The sequence below is a fragment of the Homo sapiens genome, chromosome 8, assembly GCF_000001405.40.
Source record: "Homo sapiens chromosome 8, GRCh38.p14 Primary Assembly".
Lineage (NCBI taxonomy): Eukaryota > Metazoa > Chordata > Mammalia > Primates > Hominidae > Homo > Homo sapiens.
The window spans coordinates 18,167,416-18,186,717 of record NC_000008.11 but is presented as its reverse complement, the minus strand read 5'-3'; the positions used below and the strand labels follow the sequence as shown (position 1 = coordinate 18,186,717).

The window sequence follows — 19,302 nt, the reverse complement described above, 5'->3', positions numbered from 1 at the left end:
GGATGATAAGACAGGAAAAACTTCCAAACAATGGAGAAAAGAAAAGGAATAATAAAAGATATTCAACTGTTCTAAAAGCAAAAATGAATCAAGTACATATGGGAAAATAAAAATACAATAAGACGATAGGTATAAACCTAAAATATCAGCAATTGTGTTAAAGCATTTACAAAATAAATATTGCCAAATTAGATTTTTCAAAAACAACTATATGCTACTTACATATGTGTAGCGATATTAAACACAAGAAAACAGGAGGCTTGAAAGGAAAAGAGTGAAAACATTAACAACAACAAGAAAAAAAGAAAGATGGTGTACCTACACCAGTATCATGCAAGCTAGTCACTGAGATAAAAGCATTATGAGAATTAAGAGGAGCACTTCATAATGACATTAATTCATTTGGAATTATAAAATTCTAGATGTACAATCATACAGTAAAACATCAAGATAAATGAAAAAGAACTACGGGAAGAAGTAGACAAACCTATAATCATAATGGGAAATTTCAATGCCTATCTTCTACTAGCTAATAAAATCAAAGCACAAAAAATCAGTATGAATAGATTTTTTTTAAAACATGGCTAACAAACTTGACTCTCATGAACATATGTAGAAAACTTCACCCAAAAACATTAAAATACAAATGTTCCCAAACGTGTAACGCAAGTGTTAACCAGTTCCAAAGGGTTGAAATCATACGTACTGTGTGCTTTGACTACAACGCAATTAAACTAGAAACCAATAACAAAAAGAGGACTTAAACTTTCTAAATATTTGTAAATTTAGGAGGACACTTATAACTAAGCCAAGGATCAAAGAAGAAACCATGATAAAAATAGAAAATATTTTGAAAGTATAACAAAATGTAACATATCAAATTTTGGGGACATAGCCGAAGCAATACTTAAAGGAATAATTTATATGCATTTATATGAATTTTAAGCATACGTAAGAAAAGTAGAAAGGGTGAAAAATAAAGATCTAAAATATCTAGCTCAAGAAATGAATAAGAAAGTTGTGAATTAAACCCAAGGAATTTTAAAAGAAGAATGAATGAAAAGAATAAAGATAGTGGAAATTATGAAAAAGAAAACAACAACATTAAGATTTGTTTTGTTTTTAAAGACTAGTAATATGGATAAACCCTGATGAGACTGACCAAAAGACAGATACAGAGAGGGAACGCACAAAGACCAACAATATAGGATTGAAAAGGGGAATATTGTCACAGACTCAGAAGCAGTAAAAAACAAAATTACACCACATTATGACCAGTATTATGGCAATAAGTTTGAAAATTTTGGTAAACTTAACACATTTCTGAAAAAATATAATGCATAAAACTGTCACAAGAAAAATAGAAATTCTAAATAATCCTGAAACTATTAAAGGAATGGAATCTATAAATTTAAAAAATTCACACAAACAGAACATCCGGCCTAGATGGCTTTGCTGGCGAATTGTACTAAATATTTACAAAACTTTTATAAACTTTTCAAGAGAATAGAAAAAATAAGAACTCTTCCCCTAACTTCTTTTATGAAGTTAATCTAATGTCGGTACACAAACTTGATACGGACATTCCCGAAGGAAAAATTACAGAACAATCACTCCTGAAACTGAAACAAGCACTCCTGAAACCGAAACAAGCACTCCTGAAACCTGAAAAAAATAACATTTAAACATTTGTTTAACCAATGTTTAGATTTGCCAGCAACAACTAAAAAAGATAGCAGCCCACAACCAAGTTGAATTTATTCCAGGAATTTGAGATAAGCTTACTAGTCAAATATCACTGTACATTTGATAAAATGTCATAGAATTTTGCACAAGCATGCATTAGAAAAATGAGTGCACGCAAAAACTGGTGAAATGTTCTAGAGGGAAGTAGAATGCAGGATCCACATATGGCAGAAAGTGGAAGGGCCAAGAGAGAAAGCCCACTCTTGAAAGCTCTGTTTGCAACAGCATTAATCCATTCATAGACTGGAGAGGCCTCATGACCTAAACACCTCTTGTTAGGCCCTGCCTCCCACTACTGTTGGATGGGAGATTGTTTCAACATGAATTTGGGAAGGGACAAACATTCAAATAATAGCATTACTTAAAATGCTGTTAATTATTGTTATTCTTGATTATTATGTATTGACCTCATATTCAACAACCTTGCTAATTACACTGATTAATTCCAGTAATTTGTAGATTAAATGGATAAAAGAAAGCCAAGTGTTACTCATCAAGAAAGTGGGAGAATGATCCCAAAGGCATTTTGGAGGTCTTCAAGGCTGCCCCTCTAATCACAGGCCCAGAGCTTTAGGGCTTTGTGGGCAGAAGGGTTTTGGATGATGGGCCCAGGGCGCCCTCCGTGGGCTGCTCTCTATCAGGGCTGTCTCAGGACTCTGATCCATGCATTCTAATGCAACTCTCCTTGGCCACACCTAGTCTTCCAGAAGGCAGATTGTAAACCTTCGAGGCATCTATGTGGTTCTAATTCTGCAGGCTCACATAGTGCCAGAGCTGAGGAGGCATGAATTTCTTCAACAAGACTTCAAAGGATGTTATGGCAAGTCATGGGGCCCAGGCAGAGACTTGTCACAGGGGTGGGGCCACCACAGAGAGTCTTCATCAAGGTAATGCCTAGTGAAGCAATGGGAACAGGGACCCCCCCACCACCCCGCCCCGGGACCCTGAAAGCATAGAGCCACTAGTATACACTGCCAGCCTGGGAGAGCACAGGCATGAGACTCCAACTCATGAGAGATGCTGTGTGGGCTGAACCCAGCAAAGTCATAGGGGCAGGGTTGTCTGAGGCCTTGGGAGGTCAACCCAAGTGTGTCTGAAAGGCAGGCCATAGAGTCAAGATTTTTTTCCAAGCCTTAAGATGTAAGGCCCTATTGGCTTTGGGACTTGAAACCTGCTACCCCTTTCTTCTTGCCTATTCCTCCCTTTTAGAATAGGAATGTCTATCCTGTGCCTGTCCCACCACTGTATTCTGGAAACATATAAATAAATAGTTTGATTTCATAGGTTTATTGTGGGAGGGGATTCGTCTCAGGATGAACCATGCTTCAGTCTCACCCATATCTTCCGTTCTGTAAGGGAACACAGAAAATGATGAACCATTAATCTAGGAAGATTCTTCTGACTCCTCAGGGCTATTTATCTCTAATGGCCTTTAAGACACTACATGGGTAAGGAACTTCTTCTGCCGGCTTCTTCTGAATATCTGCCTACAAACTCCTAATTCTGCAAATTTTCTTCCATTTAGATGGGACTCTGGACTTTGGACTTACCGGGACTATTGAGAAAGAATTAATGTATTTTATATGCGAGGACGTGAGTTTTGGGGGACCACAGCCAGAATGCTGTGGTTTAAAATGGTTTGAATGTTTGTCCCCTTCCCCAACTGATGTTGAAATTTGCAATGCAAACAGTATTGAGAGGTGGGGCTTGATGGGAGGTGTTTACATCATGATGGCAGAGCACTTATGAATGGATTAATGCAATCGTAAAAAGGGCTTTCAAGAGTGGGCTCTCTCTTGGTCCTTTTCACCTTCCACCACATGAGGAGTCAGCGTTCTTCTCCCCTCTGGTTGGTGCATTGACCTTAGTCTTCCCAGTCCTCAGAACTATGAGCCAATACATTTCTGTTTATAAATTACTCCATCTGTGTTATTCTGTTATAGCAGCACAAAATAGACTAAGACAAAAATTAATTTAAAACAGACTTTATAATAGCATAAACAACTTCAAATAAATAGTAATAAATCTAATAATAGGTGCATAAGATCTTTATGCAGAAAATGATTAGACATTATTTAGAGACATTTTTAAAGTCCTAAATAAATGAAGATTAGATAGAAATTAATGAAAACATGTAATTTATTCCTAAGTTTATCAGTATGTTCAATGAAATCCCCATCTAAATCCCAACACTTTTTGAGTGAAAATTGATGAGTTAATTTTAACATGAATATTAAAATGCAAATAGTCAAAAATAGTGAGACAGTCTTAGAGAAGAACAATGTGGGGAGAATTACTCTGCTAGAAAACATGACTTAGTTAGTTCTAGAAATCAAGATTGAAAAATAGGCTAAGGAAATAATAGAGAGCTCAGAAATGACCCACTCATGTGGACACCAAATTCATGACAAATATGACACTGCAAAGCAGTGAAAAGAGTTTCTTTTTAAAAACGAAGCAATCTATAGCTCACACCATAAGCAAAAATCAATCCTAGGTGGATTGTAGACCTAAAAGTAAAAGGTAAAACAATAAAGCTTCCAATAAACATCAGTGCAGAAAATCTTCATGACCTTGGGCTATAAGAAAATTTGTACACAAAATGCACTAATAGTATGTATAAAACATAAAAGGCATTAATTATAAAAAAAGACTGATACATTGGAATATTAAAGAAATGCTGAGTTTCAAATATGGGGAGCAAAATAGCTGAACAGGCCTTCTGTCAATCACCCCCCACAGGAACATCAAATGGAACAACTATCCTTGCAAGAAGACACCTTCAAAAGAGCTAAAGAAATCAGGTGAGCTATCACAGTACCTGGTTTTAGCATAATAACAAGAAGAGATACACACTGAAGAAGGTAAGAAGGATAATCACTCATTGCCAAAACCACCTCTCCTCAATGCCAGGCACCATAGAGAGGAGAGAGACAATTCCTGCTTGGGGAAGGGAATGGGAAGTGGGTATGGGAATTTGTATTGGAATTTAGAGTCAGGCCTGCCACGGTGCAACACAGCACAGGCAGAGCCCCCACAGTGCCTGATTCCAAACCTAGAGAGGGAGAATTTAGACCTTCCCTGGGACAGAGGAGAATCCACTGCCCCAACTGGAGGAAAACAAGTCCTGGCCTGCTTCACCACTACCTGACTGAAGCGGAAACATTTCATAAAATACAACGTCCCTTCATGGTGAAATGTCTCAACAAACTGGATATGGAAGGAAAATATCTCACAACAATAAAGGCTATATATGACAACCCGCAGCTAACATCATACCAAATGGAGAAAAATTAAAGCCTATGCCCTAAGATCTGGAACAAGACAAGTATGCCCACTTTCACCACTTTTACCACTTTTATACATATTAATAGTACTAGAAGTTGTAGCCAGAGTAATCAGACAAGAGAAAGAAATAAAGGGCATCTCAACTGGAAAGAAAGAAGTCAGATTATCCCTGTTTACAGATGACATGGTGTTATATTTAGAAAAACGTAAGGACTCCACAAAAAACTGTTCAAATTGATAAATTCACTCAAGTTGCAAGATGCAAAATCAACATTTAAAAATCCATAGCATCTCTATTTTTTTTCTATTTCTGTGAAGAATGTCATGGTTATTTTGATAGGGATTGCGTTGAATCTGTACTCAGCCAATAGCCAATTGCAAAAAAATCTTAGAAATTGAGAAAGCAATCCCATTGAATCCTACTGAATAGCTACTTTTTAAATTTTTAGGCATAAGTTTAATCAAAGAAATGAAAAATCTCCACAAGGAAAATATAAAACATTGATGAAGGAAACTGAAGAGGACCCAAAAAATGGAAAGATATCCCATGCTAATGGATTGGAAAAATTAATATTCTTAAAATGGCCATACTACTCAAAGTAAGTACAGATTCAATGCATTCCTATCAAAATACCAATGACATACTTCACAGAAATAGAAAAAAAATTCTAAAATGTGTATAGAACTACAAAAGACCCTGAATAGCTAAAGCAATCCAGACCAAAAAGAATATAACTAGAAGCATCACATTAGCTGTCTCAAATTATACTATAAAGCTATAGCAACCAAAGCAGCATGGTATTGGCATAAGAACAGACACACAGACTAATGGAGCAGAACAAAGAATCCAGAAATAAATCCACTATTCCCAGCCACCTCATTTTTAAAAACTGATACATTATAATTACATATATTTATGAGGTATAACTTGATGTTTTAATATATATATGTTGTATAATGACCAAATAAGGGTATTTAGTGTTACCATTACCTCATGCACTTATTATTTCTTTATGGTGAGAACATTCAAAAGCCTCTGTTTTAGATATTTTGTACTATATCATATCTTAATATAAATTGTCACCATATTGTGCAATAGAACTCAAACTCATTTTATGAGGCCAGCATTATTCTAGTATCAAAGCCAAATAAGGACACTACAAGAAAAGAAAATTACAGGCAAACATTCCTAATGAACATAGATTCAAAAATCCTCAACAAAATACTGGAGCAGAGCAGGTGCTCAATAGATCTTTGTTTCTTTGTTTCTCCTTCCCAAATCCACTATAGGCTTCATACCTGCTTGCATTTGCTCCATCTGTACTTTTGGACTGCAAAAACCATTTCTCAACCCCTCAGACCCTAGTCAAATAGCATCCCCCTTGACAAAATTCATTTTCCCTTCATCTAAGTGTGAAATCCAACTCTAGCACTAATTTTCCTAACTCAACACCACCCTGATGTCAGAATCAAGTCCACTCATCAAGCCCACCCAGGCTTGGTCCAGAACCTTGCAACTGGTGGTCCTCAATGATTTTTGGGGTTTCAATGAGTTCCCTCTAGCTCCCCCAATTCTCCTTCCTTGCTTATCTACACACCTTGTCTTTCATGCCTCAGTACTTTTCTTTAAATCTTACCTGACCCCTACTGCATAGCATACTCCCTCCTCTGACTTCTTACTATGCCCCGGCTCTGCCTAGTCTGTAATTTGGGCCATTAGTTATTGTTGCCTTATGACATCTCCTCTATTATTCTTTGTATATCTTGTAAAGTTGCTTAAGATTTAATCTTTCTACACTGCAAATCATTAGAGGCAGGCAGAAACAGTGCCTTCCTTGTGTTTCTGTGTGTCTTTCATGAGGCTAAACACAATGCCATGCATATGAGTGCAAAATAAATATTTGCTTTGATTTGGTTTGTGATAGCACATGTGTAGATCTATCCCTAGGGCCCTAGTACTATGATTGACTAAAGAAGTATGCTTTATGCTCTGATTCTGTCTCCCACGCCTCTGAAACTTGATCCCTTATAGACATTTGAGAACACATGTACGATTTTCCTGGGGTCTGCAGACTCCAGCAGGGACTGCTAATCATGCACCAAAATCAGTTCTGCCCTTCTTTCTGTGCTCATTTCAATACGCCATTTCTTAGCCTTTTGCTGTAGCACATCAAAAAGCTTCCAGCTGACACTGAGACAAGTGGAAAAAAGTGAAGGTGATGCATGCCACTTCCAGGCTGGTGCTTCAAAACCAAGGTTCTCAAGAGGATGCTACTAATTTGAGTGGCCATAGAAAATGCTCCAAAATTTCAATTCTACCTTAGACCAATTCCCTAAAATCAGTTATTTCATTCTCTCTCTTCCCTATCTACCTTTTCACCTTATCTGCTGCTATTATCAAGTGAATGATTATGTAGTATTACCACATTGAGGATATGAAGAGTGTCCTGGAACTGGATGTGCCAAACGACTAAGACACAATCCCCACCATGGAGATTTTCCCAATGTTTTAGGCAAGGAACAGACACCAAATATCAGGCAAATACTGTGCAGTAGATGGAGAGATGTAAGAACAAATTGGCCAGGACAGAGTGAGGAAGAGGACAAGAGAGAAGGCCGGGCATACAGTGGAATATAGAGGGATAAATGTTGACTAATTAAAGGCACGCAGGAACAAGAAGGACAAGTTGAAACTGTTGAGGAAAGGTATTCTATAGAGAAGGATTTGTAGTGTTTGGAGGAGAACACTTGTTGTTTAGTGAGGTTGAAGCGTAAGGTGAAAAGACAAATCTAGAGGAGTAAGTGGTATTAGACTTGAAAAGCTTGTCAGCTAAACTCTAGAATTTGAACAGAGAGGAAACTGAATGGAGCCCATAGAAGTCTCTGTTCAAAACCCGGCATTCCTTCTCCTAACACTCACTCATCTGTTAGGGAAACTGGTTACAGTCCTGATATTTTATCTACTCCTTCCTCTCTCAAAGGAATATGACTCAATTGTCCACATTATGGATTTGCTGAAAGCCTTGCAATTCTATTCATCTGTGACTTAAATGGAAAGAACAGTGATAATTTTCACTAGGAAAACTTGATTCATGAGCTCTTCAGCTATAGCTCACATCTCACTGAGCACTGTAATTCTCTGCTGTCTACACATCCTGGCCAAAGTAGCAAAACTTCCAGTGAAGACCCAAAAATAGAACCTCAATCCAGGTTCTGTGAGTGAAGAGATGTCTGTTTTGTTATCAAGTTGATTCTAACTCAGCCCAGAAATAAAATAGTATATCAAAGCCACACATTTTAATATACAAGAAAATCCACACTAAACTTTTATTCTCTTTTGACTTATGTTCAGTAGCTTAATATTCTGAAGACCAGCTTGACCAGAAGGAATGCTGTCTAAGAAGTCACCACTGATTATTTTCTGTCAAGTAGCTACAAATCCAGAAAAATATGCAAAACAGTTGCTAAACAGAGGTTCCTAGAAACATACAGTGTGAGTTCTTGCATCTCCTGCTCTTAAGTTTGCCTCTAGTGGTGTTATTTCTTCCCTGCAGTGTCAGCTAGCACTTGCCATTTCCCATCTCCCTCCCTCTGTCCCATGACTCCAATCATGTGACCTAATAATGCCTTTTAGCTACGTTAGATTAATTGCACCATTTGTTAGAAAATCCAGGGAGGATGTAAGAAGAGAGAAAGTTAATAGCTGACTCAGCTGTTTCTCACTGAATCTTAATCCCATGTGTTCAATACTGTGAAAATCAAAAGCTAAGATAACCTCAAAACTGGAAGGGTCCTTAAGGCTACATTAAATAAAAGGTGCCCAAAGTCACTCAGATAATTAGAAACATCCGTCTTCTAAGCTGCCTTTTGGATTCTCCTGGACAACGATACACATGTTAATAAAGTTGCAACCTGCGTAATCTAAAACTGAAAACTAAGACTTCTATTCTTCTGATTCCAGCTAAGGAAAATGATGAGCAAATCTGAAAGGTCAACATAAACATTATTGTTTGGCTTTAGGACAGTGGGATACGAATGTCTTTCCTCCCACTGCATTTATCATTAACACATATATCCTCATTTCTAAAATGAGGTAAAAACACTAACCCATTATTGTATACAATGGAATTTCATGTAATACCTAGTAGTATTTATGGGTAATGACAGTGACACCAAATGAATATAAGCTGGGAATTCAGGACTTATAAAAATAAAGCAATTTTCCCATTCTTACGTCAGAAGCAATTGTTTGTAAATTTTACAATTTTTAAACACAAAATTTTAGGACTTAGAGGATAAGTCTGACTAATGCTCATATAACTATATAAATAAAACTTGTGGGTTAATATCAAAGATCAAATCTAAGTTAATTCATTGTATATTCCAAAACCTATTCAATGTCTTTTAATATTTACTATTCTTGGAATATAGTGGGATAGGTAAAAGAGGGAACAAGAAAAGATACTGTAATTCTGAGCGTTAATTCTTTTTCATTGGGAAGAGACAGATGAGGAAGGAATAAATGAGACTGTCTGTTGATATAATCTTACATATACAAAACCCTAAAGATTTCACCAAAAAAACTGTTAAAAGTGATCAATTCAATAAGATGCAAGTTATAAAATCAACATGCAAAAATCAGTAGTGTTTCTGTACACTAATAACAAACTATCTGGAAAAGAAATTTTAAAAATAATCTCATTCACAATAGCATCAGAAAAAATACTTAAGAGTAAATTTAACCAAGGAGGTGAAAGATCTCTACACTAAAAGCTATAAAACATTGATTAAAGAAATTGAAGATGACACAATAAATGGAAAGATATTCTGTGTTTATGGATTGAAAAAATTAGAATTGTTAAACTATCCATAATACCCAAAGCAATGATTTACAGACTCAATACAACTCCTTTTAAAATTTCAATGTTATTTTTTTATAAAAATAGAAAAAAAATCCTAACATGCATATGGAACCACAAAGACCCTGAATAGCCAAAACAATCTTGAGCAAAAAGAACAAAGTAGAAGGCATCACATTTCCTGATTTCAAAAATATTATGAATGTATTGTAAAAACAAAACAAAACAAAAAAACAGCATGGCACTGGCATAAAAACAGACGCCTCAACCAATGAAACACAATAGAATGCCCAGAAATAACCCGAAGTGTTTATGGCCAATTGATATTTGACAAATGTGCCAGGAACACAAATTGGGAAAAAACAGTCATTTTAATAAATGGCATTCTTCTACATGTGGATATACTTATCTCACACTCATATGCAGAAGTCAACTCAAAATGAATAAAATACTTAAACGTAAGACCTGAAACTGTGACACTACACAGTTAATGTTCAATACTGTGAAAATCAAATTGAGGATACTCTCCATGACATTGGTGTGGGCAAGATTTCTTGGACAGGACTCCAAAAGCACAGGCCACAAGAGCAAAAGTGGACAAATTGGGATCACATTCAACTCAGAAACTTCTGCACGGCAAAAGAAACAATTAACAGAAGTAACAGACCACCCACGGATGGGGAGAAAATATTCACAAGCCATACATCTGATAAGCAACTAATATTCAAAATATATAAGGAACTCAAACAACTCAAGAGCAAGAAAACAAACAACATGATTAAAAATGGGCAAAGGATCTGAACAGGCATTTCTCAAAATAACAGAAAGGAATGGCTAACAGATACATGAAAAATGCTCAGAATCTTTAATCATCAGGGAAATGTAAATTTAAAACACAATGAGATATTGCCTTACATCTGTTAAAATAGCTATTATCCAAAAGAGGAATGATAAGTGTTAGCAAGGATCTGGAGAATAGGAAACCCTTGTATGCTGTTGGGAACATAAATTAGTACAGTCATTTTGGGAAAAAGTATGAAGTTTCCTCAAAAAAACTAAAAATATAATTACCATATGACCCAGGAATTGCACTCTGGATATATATTTAAAGGAATTGAAGTTGGTATGTTGAAGAGATGTCTGTACTCCCATGTTCATTTCAGCATTATTCACAATAGCCAAGATATGGAAGCAACATAAGTGGTCATCAATGATAGTATGGATAAAGAAAACATACTATATTACACAATGGAATACTATATAGCCTTGAAAAAGAAGGAACTTTTGTCATTTGTGACAACATAGATGGAGCTGGAGAACACTGTGCTAAGTGAAATAAGCCAGTCATGGAAACAAATACTGTATAATCTTACTTGTTTGTGGACTCAGAAAAAATGTGATCTCATAGAAACAAAAAGTATAGAGGGATTACCAGTAGCTAGGGGAGAGGAGGAGGGATGGGGAATGGAAAGATGTTGATCAAAGGGTACGAAGTCTCTGTTAGACTGGAGGAATCAGATTTAGTGATTGGTTGCACTGCATTTTGACCATAATTAATAATAATGTATATTTCATAATTGCTAAAAAGAATAGATTTTTAACATTCTCATCACACCAAAAAAAAAGCAATAAGGTGATAGATATGTTAATTACCTTGATTGACTCTTTCTACAATGTATACATAGATCAAAACATCACACTGTACCCCATAAATGTGGACTATTATTTGTCAATTATAAATAAATATTTTAGAAAACTAAAACTCTCTACAAAAAAATTAAGGAATCATGAATATGATACAGAAATATTGAACTTAATAAAACCAGGCAGCAGGAATATAAGAAGATCAACACAGCGTTGTACATACTTGTTCTGAGATTGTGTTGCCCAGAGGTGTGGGGAGACCGTAAACCCTTTGAGGACTGTGTATGTTTTCTCTCACTCTTCTTAGTGCTATATAAGCATGAGAGTTCGCATTTGGGAGGTAAAAGGGTTATAGAGCCAATCCTTTTCTGTAAAAGATGGGGCTTAGGCTTGTGTGCTGAGGTTTGCCCAGAGTTATAGAGCTAGAAAAAACCCTGGGTTTCCCGACTCCTTACGTGATGCTTGCTATTCTTATGCTTGCTACCACTGCTACACAAATAAATAAATATTATTATTACAGGGAAAAATCACAATAACCGCCCTCTAAAGCTGGGTTCTCCAGGGCGTGAGGACTCCTCCGGATTTTGAATTATTTGTTAAGTTGAAGGTCCATTATGATGGAGAAAATGTAATACTTTTCTGTATGTGTTTTTAATGGGATTTGACCTGTGGTGCCTTCCTCTGACAACTTAAGAATTTTCCAGCCATCCTTGAATATCTTTATGAAGGTAGCTAGAAAACAGTAGGAACTTTACTTTACAGAGGAGGAAATTAAGGGGTGAGGTGACTTCTGGAAGGGACATCAGTGAATGAGTGGAAAGCTAAAATAATGATGTGTTTAATCTTCATTAGCAAGGGCAGGGACTGAATGTGTCCAGATGAAATACGGCTTGCTGAGAATGTTGTAATCAGTGATGGTGGATATAAGTCCAGTCACTGAACAGCCTTGCCTCACAGCTTTTCCCTCACCCTGGGAAACAGACATTCATGTGGCTAATCTAGTCATACACTTGCTCAGATATTGATAGCAATTTATTTTATTGCAAAATGTTCCGTTTCTTCTAATCATCTTTTTCTCTCTTCTTAGTGACCCTAGGGCGCCAGTGAGCCATTCATCACACACAGAACCTCACAAGGAGGATGACTCACACACACATCAACAAGCTCTGTCTCTGTTTCTTACTTTATCCATCTCAATAGACTGTCTTGAGATATTCTCAGTTAGATTAAAAGTGGATATGAAGGTGAGTCTGTCTATTCACTCCTTTAAGTAATTGCAATGAAACTATAACTATAATATGGGGTGCATATTGTTTGATTTTTAAAATGTCAATAACATTGTTTCAAGGCTATTCTCTGATGTTATGGGGTAGTCGAGAATATTTGCTTGTTAAAAGGAACCACCCATTAGGGACCAGGCATTGGATTAGGAAGCTATATGTTTAAATAATCACAACAAATCTATGAGGTACATAATCTTATACCCATTCTATTGGTGAAGAAACAAGACTATACAACAAGAAAGTGTCAGAACCAAGATGTGGAATGTGCACTCTCCACTATCCACGCTGGGCTCCTAAGTACTGGGAAGAGGTGAGACTATTTTCTGTGCCTCAGTGTTATAATGTTGGCCATCTGCAATTGCCATCCCAGTTATTAGAAAGCCCTTTATGTGGCTCTGGGGCTGAATGTAGGTGCACAGCATAAGCACATGAGTATCCACAACAGCCTTGCTTTTCCTCTGTGTAGTGATATGTTGGAGGTTTTTTAATAAACAGGATGATAAAAGAACATTCATTCCATGAGGTGGAAAACAAGAGGGACCTATTGTAGAAGACAGATGGCAAGAATGAAAATGCTAGATAGTATGAACTCATTCGAGGAACGAGACACCCTGATTCTAAAGTTCAAGTTGCAGCTGCACCCATGTGCCTTGACTGCAATAAGGATCAAAGAAATGTGATGTATTTCTGCTCATATCCTGTGCTGTGCACATGATCATTGTGTGTGTGTGTGTGTGTGTGTGTGTGTGTGCATCTCTGTGTGCACGTGTGCTCTAACAGGTCACAGCCAGGAGAGCCCAGTCAGAGAAATCTACAGCAGCAGTAGCACTGTTCTCTGCCTGACAATAAAACACCATGGAAGACTCGCCCCTGAAGAGAGGTCCTGGGCTCCCCATGAGAACGGACTGAGGATGATAAAATGTGTGCGTCTAGCCTCACATGCTTTTGTTCTTCTACAGGGGCACTGCTCAGAGGCACTTTTCAGATACAACAGCTCGTTTTAGAAAGTCTCCCTGGCAGGTGACCTTGAAGCATCCACTCAAGTTCTTTGGGGGTATAATTTGCTCCGTCTAGAAATTCAATTAAATTGAAGTCAATGTCTCAAATATGTATTAAACAGTAATTATGTGCACAGCAGTGTATTAAATACAAACCATGAAAGATGTAGAGATTAATAAGCTATAATCTTTCAAGGAGTTAATTTTATAACAGAATTAAGATGTTTATCCGAATAATGATAATAAAAGGCTGAGTGTTAAGAGTCCTAGTTTACCACTGAGCTGAGCCAAGGTATTGGTAGAATTTGAACCACCAGAGTAAAGGGTGGCCTGCACAGAGAAACAGCATGGGCACAGGCCAGGGGAAATAGCATGTATTAGTTTTGACTGGTACATGGATTGCATGAGGGAGAATAAGTGACAAGCCTGGCGGCAAGGACAAATTATATGGTGGACAGGGATGGAGAAAGAATCAACCCAGCTAGTGATCAGAAGGTCACTGGTGACTTTCCCAGCAGGCGTTTTGATGAAGCAGTGTGATCAGAAGTCAGTTTGAAAAGCTAAAGTTGAGGAAAGTGGCATGTCGGGAGGTAGAAGCAGTTAAATGTCAACAGTCTTATAAAACATGTGGAGCTTAAAAGTTTCTATTGTAACAGCATACACTGCCTGCTATTCTCTTCTTCTAGTGTTTGGCTTAAGACCCATTAACACAAAGCATTAACTCCCGATTAGCTAATGGAGAATCTTATAAATCAACACAAGTGGTTGTTACTTGTGACGCTACACTCACACAAGGGCAGTTTTCACTGTTGTCCTTAGAGGTAGTAGAGCAGGAGGATTAAGTATATTTCAGTGTTTTAAATGATGCTTAGAAGACAAAAGAAGAATTTCATAAGATGTTAGTCTGTTTGCTGAAAGACAGTGAGTTAGAATGGAATTCAAGAGGCTTTCCATAGCATGTGGAACATGCAAGAAAAATTTTTCCCTAAACTACCTCAGAGAAGATCGCTACCAGTTTGGCAACCACTGCTACTTACTTTTAAGTAATTAGGTTATGGCTTAGCTACTGGGTCTAATTGCAGGCTATAAGTTAATACTGTTTCAGTCCCTAAAGGAAATACTCCTTGTTGCGTTTCTAGCTCAGAATGTTCCACAATGTTTCTAAATAAACTCTGCAGTCTGGTTTGTCCTTTTGTCTGCAGAATTGTGTAACAGACCAATCAGGTGTGGTTTTTTTTGTTTTGTTTTGTTTTCTTTTGGAGGTTTTTTTGTTTTGTTTGTGCAGAAATACCTTAGCTATTAGGAATTAAATGTAAGAGGTTTTCAACAATTCCTCCTAGCTCTTTCTGGCAAAAAGGTAATTGAGCCAAAAGGTTAACAGATTCAGAAACTTGAGGTAAAAACATGTAGGAAGCAAAACAGGGTTAATTCGGTCAAACTGCACCCCTCTTTCTTCATGTCCTTAGTCTGTTGCTTAAGCTTTTTGTTTGCCTTTTGCAAAGAAATCTTTTAAGGAGGCAATTTGGATTAATTTAGTCTTTTGCGTGCCTCCCAGTACCAATTAAAAAATACATCCCAGTATTTTGGGGGGGTGGTTCTGATCTCTGTTTTTTCTGAATATGCCTCACAAGTAAACAATTCTGTCCAAATTAAATGTCACCACTGTGGCCACTTTAATTTTAGATTACCTTTAGAAAGGCTAACTCTACCTATCTACAGAGCCCAGTTGAGTTCTGTCTGACCCAGTCAGACTGAGGCCTCCCTGTAGGACTGGGTCCTGTTTCTGTCATGATTCTCAAATGCTCTCTCAAGCACAAAACCCTGGATTCAAATGCCGAAAAGATCAAAATTACCTACCCCAAGGCCTTTAACTGGATCCAATCTAGTTAACTGTTGAATCCAATTTGATTTTGAACCCTGTTCAGACTCTAACTTAATCAGATGCCTGGCCTCTTAAGTGAAATCCAATTCAGTAAAACAGGAGAAAAAAGAAAGAAAAAAAAAAGGAGAGAGAGAAAAAGGAACAAAGGTCGCTGAGATAAACGTGGAGAGCTCAGAACACAAAATAAGTGGAAGTTAGAATCCCAGAGAGAGGCTCACCCAGCAATTCAGGCCCAGAAAAGAGATCCCTGGGCTCAATGGGCCCTGGAGGGCACTTACACAGTTGCTTTCTGTTCCTGGGATGGTCACTGGAAGTTCAGATCCTGTCGACTGGGTCAATCTGTTAAAGAAAAGTCCAAGTTAAATTAAATTTAACAAACTTTATTTGAGCAAGAAAAGGATTCTAGAACCAAGCAGCCCTCTACACTGAAGATGGTTCAGAATGCCCCCACCTCCGATGAGGTGAGCTACATTTATAACCAGAGAACAAGCAATGACATAAAGAGACTACCTGATTTGTGCAGTTTGGCCTAGGCTTTATTTGAGCAGAATGTGTTAGTTTTCAGCCTGGGATCACTTGGTTACAAAGGTAAACTCCTAGGTTAGGTTACAACTTGTTTACACATCAACTAAGGTAAAGTTCACAAAGTAAGGAGACCAACAGGGGACAAACCGTATTACCCCAGTACAAAGGACACTTTGAGCCAAACTTAAATCTAACACTGTATTTAACCCACTGAAAACATCACCAAGGAAAAAAGAAACCAACACTTTAGCTGGTGTGGTAGTGTGCACCCATAGTCCCAGCTGCTCCGGAGGCTGGGGTGGGAGGATCACTTGAGCCCAGGAGTTCAACACTGCAGTCAGTTAGCTATGATTGCACCACTGTACTCCAGCCTGGGCCACAGAGCAAGACACTATCTCTAAAAACTGAAAAATTGTAAAAATGTATTCCTTCTGTCTAATTGAGACTTTGTACCCTTTGACCACCATCTTCCCATTCCCCCAACATCCCGTGCCAGCATCTTTTGATCACCATCCTACTCTGTTTATTTGATGTTGATTGTTTTAAATTATACAAATAAGTGAGAATTTGCTATTTGTATTTCTGTTTCTGGCTTATTTCACTTAGTGTTCTCCAATTCCATCTATGTTGTCGCGGCCTTTCCTTTTAAGGCTCAATAATATTCCATTGTGTCTACATACCACATTTTCTTTAACTATTTTTATCTGCTGGTGGACATTTAGGTTGATGACATAACTTGGTGAATGTGAACAGTGCTCCAATGAACTTGGCAGTGGTGGACATCTCTTTGATAAACTGATTTTAATCTTCTGGGTAAATACCCAGCAGTGGGATTAGTGGATCAAATACTAGTTCTATTTTTAGTTGTGTGTGCTTTTTTAGGAAACTCCATATAATTTTCCATAATGGCTGTATTAATTTACATTTCCCCCAACAGCATATAAAGGTTTCTTCTCCACTTCCTCACCAACACTTAACTTTCATCTTTTTTATAATAGTGATTCTGACAGGTGTGAGGTGCTATCTCCTTGTGGTTTTAACTTGCATCTTCTTAATATTAGTGATGTTGAGCATTATTTTGTATATCTTCTGTGGGCCATTTTATGTCTTCTTTTGAGAAATGTCTATTCAGGTCCCTTGCTCATTTTAAAATTGGATTATTTGTTTTCTTTCAATAGAGTTGCTTTAGTTACTTATATAATTTGGATATTAACTTCTATCAGATTTTTGGCTTACAAATATTTTCTGCCAATTCATAGCTTGTTGCTTCACCCTGTTGTTTCCTTTTTTGTGCAAAAGATTTTTAGTTTGATGTAATCTTATTTGTCTACATTTGCTTTTGTTGCCTGTACTTCTGGGGTCAAAACTAAAAAATCATTGCCTGGACCAATGTCATGTAATTTCCCCACTATGTTTTCTTCTGGAGGTTTTATAGTTTTAGTCTTATTTTTCAGTGTTGAATCTATTGTGAGTTTATTTTTATATATGGCATGAGATAAGGGTCCAATTTCATTCTTCTGCATATGCATATACAGTTTTCCTAACACTATTGATTGAAGAGATTGTCCTTTACCCACTGTGTGTGTGTGCGTGTGTGTGTGTGTGTGTGTATTTTTTTTTTTTTTTTTTTTGAGACAGAGTCTCACTCTGTTGCCCAGACTGGAGTGCAGTGGTGCAATCTTGGCTCACTGCAGGCTCTGCCTCCCAGATTCAAGTGATTCTCCTGCCTCAGCCACCCAAGTAGATGGGATTACAGGCATGCACAACCGCGCCCAGATAATTTTTGTATTTTTAGTAGAGACAGGGTTTTGCCATGTTGCCTAGGCTGGTCTCGAACTCTTGAGCTCAAGCAATCTGCCCATCTCAGCTTCCCAAAGTACTGGGATTAAAGACATGAGCCACCACGCCCAGCCAACACATTGTATATTCTTGGCACATTTGTTGAAAATCAACTAACAGTACATGTGAGAGTACATTTCTGGGCTTTTCCTTCTATTCCATTGGTCAGTGAGTCTATTTTTATACTATTGCCGTGTTGCTTTAATTACCATTGCTTTGTAGTATGGTTTTAACTCAGGTAGTGTGATACCTCCAGCTTTGTTTCTTTTGCTCATGACTACCTTGGCTATTGATGGCTTTTTGTGGTTCCATATAAATTTGAGGATGGTTAAGCACAGCACGTTGATTCACATCTGTAATCCCAGCACTTTAGGAGGCCAAGACAGGAGAATTGCTTGATCCCAGGAGTTCAAGACCAGCCCAGCAATAAAATAAAACCCTATCACTACAAACAACAACAAAAAATTAGCCAGGCATGGTGATCCATGCCTATAGTCTCAGCTACTGAGGAGTCTGAGGCAGGAGGATCACACAAGCCCAGAAGCTCAAGGTTATGGTGAACTATGATCATGCCACTGTGCTCCAGCCTAGGCAATAGAGCAAGACCCTATCTCTTAAAAAAAAATTAGGATTTTTGGCCAGGTACAGTGGCTCATGCCTGTAATCCCAGCACTTTGGGAGGCTGAGGCAGGCGGATCACGAGGTCAGGAGATCAAGACTATCCTGGCTAACACGGTGAAACCCCATCTCTACTAAAAATACAAAAAATTAGCCAGGCGTGGTGGTGGGTACCTGTAGTCCCAGCTACTTGGGAGGCTGAGGCAGGAGAATGGTGTGAACCTGGGAGGTGGAGCTTGAAGTAAGCCGAGGTCGTACTGCTGCACTCCAGCCTGGGTGACAGAGCGAGATTCCCTCTCAAAAAAAAAAAAAAGATTTTTTTTTTTATTCATTTGAAAAATGACACTGGACTTTTGTTAGTGATTGAATTGAATCTGTAGATTACTTTGGGTAGTATGAACATTTGAACAATATTTTTTCATGGATTGGATTGTCTTCCAATTCATGAAGACAAAATATCTTTTCATTTATTTATGTCTTCTTGAATTTCTTTCACTAAAATTTTATAGTTCTCAGTGTACATGTTTTTATCTCCTTTGTTAAATTTATTCCTAGGCAGTTTTTATAGCTATCATAAATATAATTGTTCTTTTGATTTCTTTTTCAGAAAATTGATGGCT

The 19,302-nt window shown here is 37.5% G+C and overlaps 1 protein-coding gene across 5 annotated transcripts in view; it reads right to left on the bottom strand.

The window, feature by feature from the left end:
* NAT1 (N-acetyltransferase 1) overlaps window positions 1-16,251 on the bottom strand; it is a 53,223-nt gene extending 36,972 nt beyond the window's left edge. For all 5 annotated transcript variants that reach the window (XM_047422397.1, XM_047422398.1, XM_047422399.1 and 2 more), the window contains exons 1-2: window positions 16,211-16,251; window positions 15,979-16,039 (exon numbers count right to left, since the gene is read on the bottom strand). The gene's annotated coding sequence lies outside the window, so the exon portion shown is untranslated. The remainder of the gene's footprint in view (window positions 1-15,978; window positions 16,040-16,210) is intronic.